This window comes from Homo sapiens, chromosome 2, assembly GCF_000001405.40.
Source record: "Homo sapiens chromosome 2, GRCh38.p14 Primary Assembly".
NCBI classification, from domain to species: domain Eukaryota; kingdom Metazoa; phylum Chordata; class Mammalia; order Primates; family Hominidae; genus Homo; species Homo sapiens.
Window position 1 is genome coordinate 149,744,879 of NC_000002.12, and position 12,132 is coordinate 149,757,010.

Here is a 12,132-nt window from a genome sequence, read left to right on the forward strand (position 1 = left end):
AGAGGGTATGATATACCATTCAATCTGGGCATCGAGTGACAGTTGTCTCGTAACAAATTGGTGGAAACAAGAAGGGAAAAATAATCAGCTTGGAACTGATGTATGCTGCAGGCAGCACCGGCATTTATACTACTCATGGCATGACTAAGCATTTGTTTGCTGTCATGTAACATAACCTTGAAGCCAAATACTTTTAAATATCTGCAAAAAACTCAAATAATTGGAGAGATTCCTTAAGAGGCATTCAGAAGTTACAGAAGTCAGGGATGTCAGTAACGATATAAACATTAAGATGATAAAAACGAAGCTGGGATATGTGTAGTCAGACATCAAAATGGAACAGGCTGTTAATGGTGCTTCCTTTTGCTGTTGTTCATTCTTTAAGACATCCTTTCTTATTCAGACAGCTTCATCTTTTTTCCCCAACCTCCATCTTTTCTGTTTCTTTCAAATTTCTCTGTAATACAGTCCTTATACTTTCCCCTCCCCAAAATGTCCCTTGAACACCATGAATATTCCAGTTGTCTTTTATCACAGGATGGATACATAAAGCTGTCTTTATGTGTTTATATACAGCATGAACCTAAGCAAAACAATTACAAGAATTGCTGAAGCAAAAAAAAAAAAATGTGTTAAAGTCCCAATGTTCTCGTTTACTAATTAACCCAGATAAAGGCATACTTTCCAAAACTGCTTTCATTTCACGTAAGAGTGCCAAAATTAATGAACTATTCAAGCTCAGCTGGAGTCTCAAAAATATGGTACCTAGTTCTTACAGGAAATACTTTTATTTTTTCAATAAAAATGGAAAAACTGGGAAATGAGCCAGTGGCTTCTCCTTCTCTTCCAATATCTTCTGTCTTGACCCTGAGGTTAAATATACTCATCACAGACACGGGCACAGACATATGTGACCTCACAGGGGCTGAAAAAGAAATCAGAAACAGCAAGAGAGGCAAAAATAAAAAAAAAAAAGAAATAAACAGCGGGTCATTTCTGACACGTGTGTCATATTTGAGCAAAGTAATAATAGCTTAGCATTAATTGGGTGCTTACTGTTTATGTGTGTGCCCCCCATGATACGTGCTTTACAGGCGTTATTTATCTGTTCCTCACACAGCTCTAAATGGTAGCTAATGACGACCACAGCAATCATTCAAGTAACATTTATTATGTGTTAAGTACAGTTCTAAGCACTTTGTAAACGTTAACCCATTTAATCTTTGTAAAAATTGTGTGAGATAAGTACTACCAGTATTCCTATTTCACATGGGAGAAAATTGAAGCACAGAGAATTTTAGTAATTTGCTCAACATCACAGTTAATAAGTTAGAGGACCTATGATTTCAACCCCGGGGCTGGTACCAAATAGTAGTAACCACCACTAAAGCTATAGGCTACTTCTCCTGGGTTGAAGGATGCTTGGCATTTTATGTGCACAGTGTTTGCAGACTTTATACCCAAAGTTTTTGTCTTCTGAGTAGCCAACATTAGGACTGCTGAAGACAGAAGGGAGACCAAGGTGATCCCAACTAGGGAGGGAGTAGGGGTTAGAGTGTGGAGATGGGCGAGAATGTGCCCTGTGAAGGCACAGAACAGGGAAGATGAGAGAAAACCAGGAAACATGCCTGAGTGAGGACCCACTCCTACCGATTTTAGTGAGAGATGCACTTCGTGACCTGACAATGTCTCTAGCTTTGGACCTGCAGGGATTCATTCCCAGTCCCTCGGTGGCAGCAACCATGTCCAAATAGCTATCATCTTTTATGAAGACTACATTTCTATCTGCCATTTTGTCCTTCTATTATCCTGTCCCCCACCTAACAGCCAACAGGGAGCTTTTAAAAGTGTAAATTGGGTTATGAGGCCCATGGCTGGAAATCATCCAAATCCTTCCTTCTCTCTTGGAATAAAATGCAGACTCCTCACCCTGGTGTTCGGGGCCCTAGGTGACCTGCCTTTGCCTAACTAGGTGGAAAACTTTAGTCTCAAAAAGAACATTCTGTATGGGATATACATTACTTGGCTAAAAACATTTTCCTTAATATAATATTTTGTGCTATCAAACATGATTGGGAAATTTACATTTATAGGCTTAATAGTTTTCAAACATATCATTTGTCTTCAGCAAAAATACAGAACATCAGAAACCGGGTTCTACAAAGAAACCATAAGTGAAATTCATAGGAGAGAGTTGGTTTTCAACACCTACCACATTTTAAAAGCTCTGACGCTAGATAAACACAACAGCATGAATCAAATATAAACATTCCTCTGCCCCTTTGCCTTTCTTCTATTTTGCTGCTCCTTCCCTAAATATCAGAAGCCAGTCAGCAAAATATATAGGAAAGAGGAGAATCTTGACTACTAAAACTTTTAAAACTAAGAGCAATATTGACTCCAAAGAATCAAAGAGTGAAGGCAAGGCCTGGAGTAGGGGAGGCATGTATACCAAATTTTGGGGATATCCACCCACAAAGTAGAACTACCTAATTGTGTAAATGCTATTTATATAAGAGTACTATCAAATATAAAGTTTTAGTATGTATGCAGCATTTTCATTTCATTGTCAAAAATATGAAGTACCTTTTAATCACTGCTAAGGTCTTGCCACCTGTTTATTTCTTGACACCACAATAGAAACATGATTTTCCTTTTTTGTCTTGTTAACATCGAGTTAGAAGTAGTTCAAACTATTTAGAAAACTAAAGAGAACCATGGAGGCCAAATCAACCAAAGGGCTGAGTCATCCACTAAAATCCTCAAATCTTTTTGAATGCTTTTGGCTAGCATCCCAATTAACAGTGTGATAACTCATTGCTTCAATTCTCTTTCTGCTACACCAAGTACTCCTAGGATTGCATCTCATAGAAGCTTCCTGTGGCCTCTCCTATAACACTTTGAATTCTCAACATTGATTTCTGCCTGAAGGGCTTCCTTGAGATATCATGCTAACCCCATCCTATACAAACACCCAGTTCACTTGAGGATGATCGATGGTCTATTCTAGTCCTGATCAAATCACTTGCCGCTTCTGTGATTATTCAGGCTCTTGGGCTGGGTGCAATCAGGCAGAGAATTATTAGAACATTGACAGATTAGTCTCATCAGTTACCTGCTGTGACCACCAGCTTTCTGTATATTAATAAGAAAAAAGGTAGCCTGCTGATTGCCATTAAATTACACGAGGATATATTTGTCTTTTGGAACTCCAAGGCATTTAAATGTGATGTAAGATCAAAATTTATTAAAGAAGGTGAAGAGATGTCCCAGCAAACATTTCCCAGGAGGTGAAAGTATAAAACTTGCATAGTGGAGAAGATAAGTACATTTTATGTTTAATCATTTTCAGTGTGAAACACAGTTTAACAAGTATTTATTGAGCACTTACTATGGGCAAAGTACTGTGTTTGGCTCTGGAAAACAAAGGGAAGTGAGGACCCCTCATCTCAAGAGTCAGTTGTTGAAATCAACATATAAGTAAACATAATCCAAGAAAGACTACAACGTGTGATACAAAAAGAGCCACAGAACTTCCAACATGAAAAAGACCACACTGTAGGGTGATAAGAAAAGTCTTCATAGAGAGGGGAGAATGTCTATGTAAGCTTTTTTTTTTTTTTTTGGAATGGAGTCTCATTTTGTTGCCCAGGCTGGAGTGCAGTGGCGCTCTTAGCTCACTGCAACCTCCGCCTCCCAGGTTCAAGCAATTCTCCTGCCTCAGCCTCTCGAGTAGCTGGGATTATGGGCATCTACCACCACGCCCAGCTAATTGTTATATTTTTAGTAGAGATGGGGTTTCACCATATTGGCCAGGCTGGTCTTGAACTCCTGACCTCAGGTGATCCGCCCGCCTTGGCCTCCCAAAGTGCTGGGATTATAGGCATGAGCCACTGTGCCTGGCTTGAGTAGCCTTTTTAAAAGATGGAAAAGAGGGAATTGCAAGTAGAAATAAGCGCAAAAACAAAGGCATAGAAGTGGGTGTGGAGATACTGAAGGTTTTCCTACTGTCCTATGGACCTGTTGCTTCTTGCTGCAAGCTTGGCAACTCTACCAGATAGCCTTTTCTGGCTATGGAGGCATGCTCAGTGGGCATACAGGGTGAGATTGTTGGCATCAGGGAGTTGATGCCCCTGAATGCAATCCCAATCAGTGACAAACAGTGGCTTCCTTGTCCCGCAGGTGGGACAGTTCTAAGGTGTGGTTTATTCCAATGTCCTGAAGACACTCAGTGGGGCTGCACCTCAGTTACCAAGACTGGCTAATATTCATTAACTTTATATTGGTTCTCTTCCCTTTTCTGCCTTATTTCTCTGTTCTCCTGATGGATGCTTCCTGGGATCACTTCCCAAATAAACTACTTGCCCTCAAATACAATCTATGACAATGAAGAAGCACAAGCCATGATAAATAACCAGCAAACTGCCCAGCTTTGTTTAAAGAGGTGTGGGTCTATAGGACAAAATAATAGCAGAGGCAGCAAAGTTTTTGGCATTTTATTCTATGCCAGGAATTGTGTAAAATGCTTGCGTATGTTCTCTCTCATTTAATAATCAGGAAATGCCTAGGAGTTATATAAAACTATAAATCAGTGGCACTGAAAGGTTAACTAAGTAGCTCAACATCACACATCTGTCAGGTGGGGAAACCAGAATCCAACTCTGATCTCTGAGATGCAGAAACCTGATTTTGAAATCCAATGCTCTTCCACCTCCCTAACGTTGTTGAGGTTATTGAATGCCAGGCTGGAGAATTTCTACTTACCTGGGAGAACACTGAGTAACCATGGAAGTTCCTGAGACAACTGAGTTACAACAGAGAAGCCTCAGGTTGGTGACACTAACAAGAAAAAAGAGAATGTTTACACTGTAAGCAAAGCCTGGTTTGGAAATATCAGAGGAGCTCAGCCATCCAAGGCCCTGCTTAGATGCTCCTAGTACATGGATAGTCAATGCATGGTAACTGGTTGGGGAGCTCTAAAATTGAAATTCAGGTTCCAATTCAGTAATCAGACAAACCTTGGTCAGAGTCCTGGCCCCATTATTAGGTTTTTTGGAGCTGAATGAGTTACCTCCATTCTCTGAGCCTCAGGCATGTTATTTGTAGCAATTCAAGTTAATTCACAGGGTTGTTATAAAGATTAGGAGAGCTAACAGGTTGAAATAACTTTGCCTTTTGCCTGACATGCTCAGTGTACATTAGCTGGTATCAGGGAAGCCTGGAACTATATCTTGGGCACATGTGGTCTGACCCTTTTTTAAGGTCCCACAAAATTTAGCCTCTTCACCAGCTTCCACAAAAAAATTCAAGCATATCAAGCATGTTGTTGCTTTATTGAAGATTTGTGGGGCTAATATACAGAGTGAATATGGAGGTACATTCTTGGTAATGTATGTCCTCATAAGACCTGCTTCTCAAACCCTTTCTTACTCTGCTGTCAGAGTTTTATAAGACCAACAGATGAAAAACAGTGGTAGTAGGGCCACAGTGGGAATATACTCTGGCATGTGTAGAACAAGACCTGCTTTCCTCCTGCTTTTGAAGATGTTCTAATGGAAGTCCCACTGAGGACCAAGTTCATGGGTGCTGCTGTTGCATTTTGGTATGAGCAGGAATATACAAAAGGCAGAAAGGACATGTTTACTAAAAGGCAAGCTCATAGAGTAATCTGGAAATTAAGGGAGCCAGCTGCACATGCCTTGGATTTTTACCTGTTATAAAATATTCTTCTATAATACCCTCATGTTCATATAGTGCCTTTTTGTTTTTAGTACAACTTGGAACATAGTATTTTTCCAAATTATCATCCATATACTAGACATTTTTCATTGCAGTGAAATTTGATTAGGTTTAAAGGGTGTTTTGCACTTAATCCCAGCCTTGTTCTTGGTCTTACAGGGGAATTCAGAGAAATGTAAGACACATTTCCTTCCCTAAGTAGCTTATAATTTCATCAGGAAGAGGAAAAGGAAGTACTAGCATATGGTCAATGTAGAGAAAGAACTATGTGTCTGTGGGTGGGAATTATCTAAAGAAGTGGGGAGATGGAACTTGAGCTTGGATGTATAAAATGGTTGTGGTATAAGTAAATGAAGAAGATGACATTTGTGAAGAAAGGAGCAATTGGAACAAAGGTAGAAGGAAGACCAGGAATAATTTGGGTAGATGATAGTGAGAATATTTGCCTATCAGAGTGGTAATCACTGAAAGTAGATTTGGAAAAGAGAAGTATACTCACATTGGAAAGAGTTTTGGCTTCCAGGAGGCAGCGTTGTCCTCTGAACCTTGTTCCAAGCTCCCATCTTCTCACTTATGCTGATACAACAAGATCATAACTTGTCTCCTGAATCCAGTTTGCATGGCCCACGACAGGCAAAGTGATATTCTTAAAAATGCTGAATTAGCCATGTCACTTCCCTGCTACAGCCCTTTCCCAGGGAGGAATTCAAAACTGTTAACATGGCCCATGAGGCATTTGATGCTTGTGATCTGGTTTCTGCTGACCTTTAAACTTCATCTCACTCTCTGCACACTCCCCACTCCAACTCCTTGTTCAGCCACATTGGCTTTGATTCTGTCCCCGAATGATCCCTCCCACACCTACTGGAAAGCCTTAACTTGTGCTAGAAGGTTCTTCCCCTCCAGTTCTCGCCTTCACCTAATTGGTCAGTCTTTATCATGAACTGCAGCTCATGGCACACATAAGACATGCTAGGGGAAGCTTTCCCTGACTCCCTAGAGTAAATCCCCAATTTTTTGATCACAAAACACCTACACATCAGTTTTTTTTTTTTTTTTTTTTTTTTTGAGATGGAGTTTCACTCTTGTTACCCAGGCTGGAGTGCAATGGCACGATCTGCGCTCACTGCAACCTCCCTTCCCAGGTTCAAGCAATTCTCCTGCCTCAGCCTCCCGAGTAGCTGAGATTACAGGCATGTGCCACCACGCTCGGTTAATTTTTTGTATTTTTAGGAGAGACGGGGTTTCTCCATATTGGTCAGGCTGGTCTTGAACTCCCAACCTCAGGTGATCCACTCACCTGGGCCTCCCAAAGTGCTGGGATTACAGGCATGAGCCACCACACCTGGCCTACATGTCTGTCTTTTAAGACTGAATCTCAGTTTGTGCTTACCTATCTATTTATATGACTATTTAAATGCTGTCTTCTACTGGACTATAAACACCAGGAGGAAACAAAATGTTTGGTTTGCTCATGGTTGCATCTCAGCAATAGCACAATGCCTGACAAAGAATAGACACTGAATGGAGATCTGTTGGATTAATAAATGGTTCAATGAATTAATTGGTGAATGAACAATAAGCAATGCAGTCACCAGAGTTTGGACCATATTTGATATCTACTTTCTCATTATAATCAAGTTTGAGGAATATTAGTTGCTTGTTTTAAGAGCTTCTGATGTTTCTCTTCAGCCAGTTAGCTTATTTTTAGAACTCTCATACATGAATTGAGAAACCAATTTTACACCAACCCTTATCTTTTATTCCTCTGAGTCCAAGTTGTTTTAAAAATAGAGAAGTAAACACTCCAATTTTGTTGTTCAGTTCATATTTCAGTTTTTCTCTTCTCTTTTATTCTGAATATTGCAAATGGTTAGAAAAACCAAACTTACATTTATATTGCTCTTTTTATCGGCAGATTTCTCAGAGCTTTAAAAGCATTTATTAATATTTATGATAGCATTTCAACCTACAAAAATTATCCACATTAAAGCTCCTTGAAGACACATATACTACAACGGTTTTACAATATGCAGCAAAAATTTCAAATATAAATTGGATGTTTTGATTAAACCCAATAAACTGACTAATGGTGAATTCCTACAGGAAAAACCCATCATTCTAAACTCAACAACAACAACATCTTTTGAAAGCATAGGTGAATTTAGAAGGCTGCTCTTTCAAAACTCAAGGATTTGAAATACTTGTAAAAGAACAGGATAACATTTGCTCAGCTATTTCTAACTTCTTGAGAAATGTAATTGAATCTTTAGCCCTACATTTTTTCCTAATCTATGTATATAAAGCTATAAATTTTTCTTTAAGCACAAGATTTTACTATACCCTGCAAATTTTGATATGCTATATTTTAGTTATTTTTACTTCAAAAATATTTTTTAATTTCCACTTTAGTTTTTTTCTTTGACCCATGGGTTCTTTAGAAATGTGTTGCTTAGTTTGCACATATTTGGCTATTTTCTAGTTACCATTTTTATTGATCTCAGCTTTAATTCCTCTGTGGTAAGGGAACATTATTTATATGGTTTCTTAAGAACAGCAGTATGGTCTATATGCACATATTTCCATTTTTGTGAAGGTCTGAGGTGCATAACCTGCATATTTTCAAATGTGTTTACTGTTTTATATATATATGTACATATGTAAATTAGATTGATTTTGTTAATCATCTCATTCAAATATTTTACATCCTTTTTGATTTATTATAGGCTTTTTAAGTCAGTTACTATGTTATCAACAATTACTAAAGTATTGAATGATAGTGTGGCTATGTCAAATTTTCCTGCTAATTTTGTCCATTTTTACATAATACATTTTGGTATTGTGCTATTAGTGCATATTGTGAATTATTGCATTGAGAATTATTGACCTCTTCAAGGAGAACTACAAACCACTGCTCAAGGAAATAAGAGAGGACACAAACAAATGGAAAAACATTCCATGCTCATGGATAGGAAGAATCAATATTGTGAAAATGGCCATACTGCCCAAAGTAATTTATAGGTTCAGTGCTATTCTCATCAAGCTACCAGTGACTTTCTTCACAGAATTAGAAAAAACTACTTTAAATTTTATATGGAAGGAAAAAAGAGCCCATATAGCCAAGACAATCCTAAGCAAAACAACAACAACAACAACAACAACAACAACAACAAACAAAGCTGGAGGCATCATGCTACCTGACTTCAAACTATAATACAAGGCTATAGTAATCCAAACAGCATGGTACTGGCACCAAAACAGATATATAGACCAATGGAACAGCACAGAGGCCTCAGAAATAATGCCACATATCTACAACCATCTGATCTTTGATAAACCTGACAAAAACAAGCAATGGGGAAAGGATTCCTTATTTAATAAATGGTGTTGGGAAAACTGGCTAGCCATATGCAGAAAACTAAAACTGGACCCCTTCCTTATACCTTATACAAAAATTAACTCAAGATGGATTAAAGACTTAAACATAAGACCTAAAACCATAAAAACCCTAGAAGAAAACCTAGGCAATACAATTCAGGACATAGGCATGGGCAAAGACTTCATGACTAAAACACCAAAAGCAATGGCAACAAAACCATAATTGACAAATGGGATCTAATTAAACTAAAGAGCTTCTGCATAGCAAAAGAAACTATCATTAGAGTGAACAGGCAACCTACGGAATGGGAGAAAATGTTTGCAATCTCTCCATCTGACAAAAAGCTAATATCCAGAATCTACAAGGAACTTAAACAAATTTGCAAGAAAAAAACCCCATGAAAAAGTGGGCGAAGTATATGAACAGACACTTCTCAAAAGAAGACATTTATGCAGCCAACAAACATATGAAAAAAAGCTCATCATCACTGGTCGTTAGAGAAATGCAAATCAAAATCACAATGAGATACCATCTCATGCCAGTTAGAATGGGGATCATTAAAAAGTCAGGAAACAACAGATGCTGGAGAGGATGTGCAGAAATAGGAATGCTTTTACACTGTTGGTGGGAGTGTAAATAAGTTCAACCATTGTGGAAAACAGTGTGACGATTCCTCAAGGATCTAGAACCAGAAATACCATTTGACCCCGTAATCCCATTACTGGGTATATACCCAAAGGATGGTAAATCATTCTACTGTAAAGACACATACACATATATGTTTATTGTCACACTGTTCCCAATAGCAAAGACTTGGAACCAACCCAAATGCCCATCAATGATAGACTGGATAAATAAACTGTGGCACATATACACCATGAAATACTATGCAGCCATGAAAAAGGATGAGTTCATGTCCTTTGCAGGGACATGGATGAAGCTGGAAACAATCATTCTCAGCAAACTAACACAGGAACAGAAAACCAAACACCACATGTTCTCACTCATAGTGGGAGTTGAACAAAGAGAACACATGGACACAGGGAGGAGAACATCACACATTGGGGCCTGTCAGGCAGTGGGGCGCTAGGGGAGGGATAGTATTAGGAGAAATACCTAATGTAAGTGATGGGTTGATGGGTGCAGCAAACCACCATGGCACGTGTATACCTCTGTAGCAAACCTGCACTTTCTGCACATGTATTCCAGAACTTAAATTATATATATATATAAAGAAATAGAAAAAAAATTCAAAACCTAAAAAAAACAAAGATGTCTTCTGAGAATGTTGGGACTTTCATCACCATAAAATGAAATGTTACTGTTTATCGCCTTTTTAAACCTCTTTTTCTTCTTCTTTTTTTTTCCTCTGACCCAGGATCCAAAGCAGTATAACCTCCTTTTAAAAAAATGATTTTAACATAGCTATATTAGGGTTTCTCATTTTGTGAGAAGGTAATTTTATCTATTTTTTTCCATTTCCATTCCTTTACTTTTTTTTTTTTTTTTTTTTTTTTTTGAGACAGTCTCAGTTTTTTACCCAGGCTGAAGTGCAGTGGCATGATCTTGGCTCATGGCAACCTCTGCCTCCCCAGTTCAAGCAAAGCGATTTTCCTGCCTCAGTCTTCTGAGTAGCTGGGATTACAGGCACCTGCCACTGTGCCTGACTAATTATTGTATTTTTAGTAGAGATGGGATTTCTCTATGTTGACCAGGCTGGTACTGAACTCCTGACCTCAAGTGATCCTCCTCCCTTGGCCTCCCAAAGTGCTGGGATTACAGGTGTGAGCCACCACACCTGGCCCATTCTTTTATTTTCAATTTGATTTCTTATATTTAAATGTATCTCCTCTAAGCAGCATATAGTTTTCTCTTATTCATTCTTATAGTCCTCATCTTTCAATTAGAATATTGTTCTGTTTACATTTAATACATTTGTTGGTATATTTGAGTTTTCTCTTTGTCCCATCTGATATTTAGTCTTTTCTATTTATCTTTTCAGTAAATGCAGTATTTTCTTTTTCCGTTGACTTGTTAATTACATCTTTTTTCATTGTTTCTTTAGTAGCTGCACTGGAAATAATATACATCCTTAGGCTTTATTAGGGTCACCTGTAATTTAATACTTTTAAAACTTCCTGACAGTGCAAAGACATTAAAACACTTGAACTCCATTTAATTCCTTCCTCCTTCTTATGCTATCTTTGATATGCATTTCAATTCTATATGTTTTTAAGCCCAATATATTATTTTAATTATAACAGTAATATTAACTTAGATTTTCTTCATATATTTACCCCTTTGACTGTTCTTTGTTTCCTACAATTCCATGTGTCCACTGAAATAATTTTTCCTTTATTTGGAGGACATTTCTTAGCCTTTCTTTCATTGTAGGTCTTCCAGTAGTGCAAAATAATCTTGATAGAAAATATATTTGTTTATATTGTTTTTATTTTTTTCTTCCATGCATTTTTAAAAGCTTGTTATTTTGAAATAATTACACATTTACAAGAAGTTGCAAAAGTGATATGGAGGGGTTTCATGTAACCTTTACTCAATTTCCTCCAATGGTTATATTTTGCACAATTGTGATAGGCAGAATTCTAAGTCTCCACAGGATTCCCATCCCCTGATTATTCAGTCAAACACTAGTTACTGCTGTAAAACAACTATGCAAATGTCATAAAGGTTATGGACCTTAAAATAGAAAAAAAAATCCTGGATTGTCCAGGTGGACATAATCTAATCACTCGAGCTCTTGAAAGCAGAGAGATTTCTCCAATTTGAGTCAGAGAGATGTGGTAGAAGAGAAAATCAGAGGACAGATGAAGCAGAGGGAGAGGTCTAAGAGGTTTAAATATGAAAAGGACTTGACTTGCTATTGCTAGCTAAGATAGAGAAAGGAGGTCGTGAGCCAAGAAATGCAAGCAACCTTCTGAAACTAAGAATGAGCCTGGCCAACAACCAGCAAAGAAACAGAGACGTTAGTCCTACAACCACATGGAACTGGATTC

General features: G+C 38.0%; 2 long non-coding RNA genes across 2 annotated transcripts in view; one reads left to right on the forward strand and one right to left on the reverse strand.

Annotated features, from left to right (window-relative positions):
- The window catches only part of MMADHC-DT (MMADHC divergent transcript), a 260,877-nt gene that overhangs the window by 157,521 nt on the left and 91,224 nt on the right, over nucleotides 1-12,132 (forward strand). The window lies entirely within an intron of this gene.
- On the reverse strand, nucleotides 770-4,839 carry LOC105373680 (uncharacterized). The gene is made up of 2 exons (XR_923464.3): nucleotides 4,765-4,839; nucleotides 770-925 (listed from the first exon to the last, which is right to left on the reverse strand). It is a non-coding gene; the product is annotated as an uncharacterized LOC105373680 (long non-coding RNA).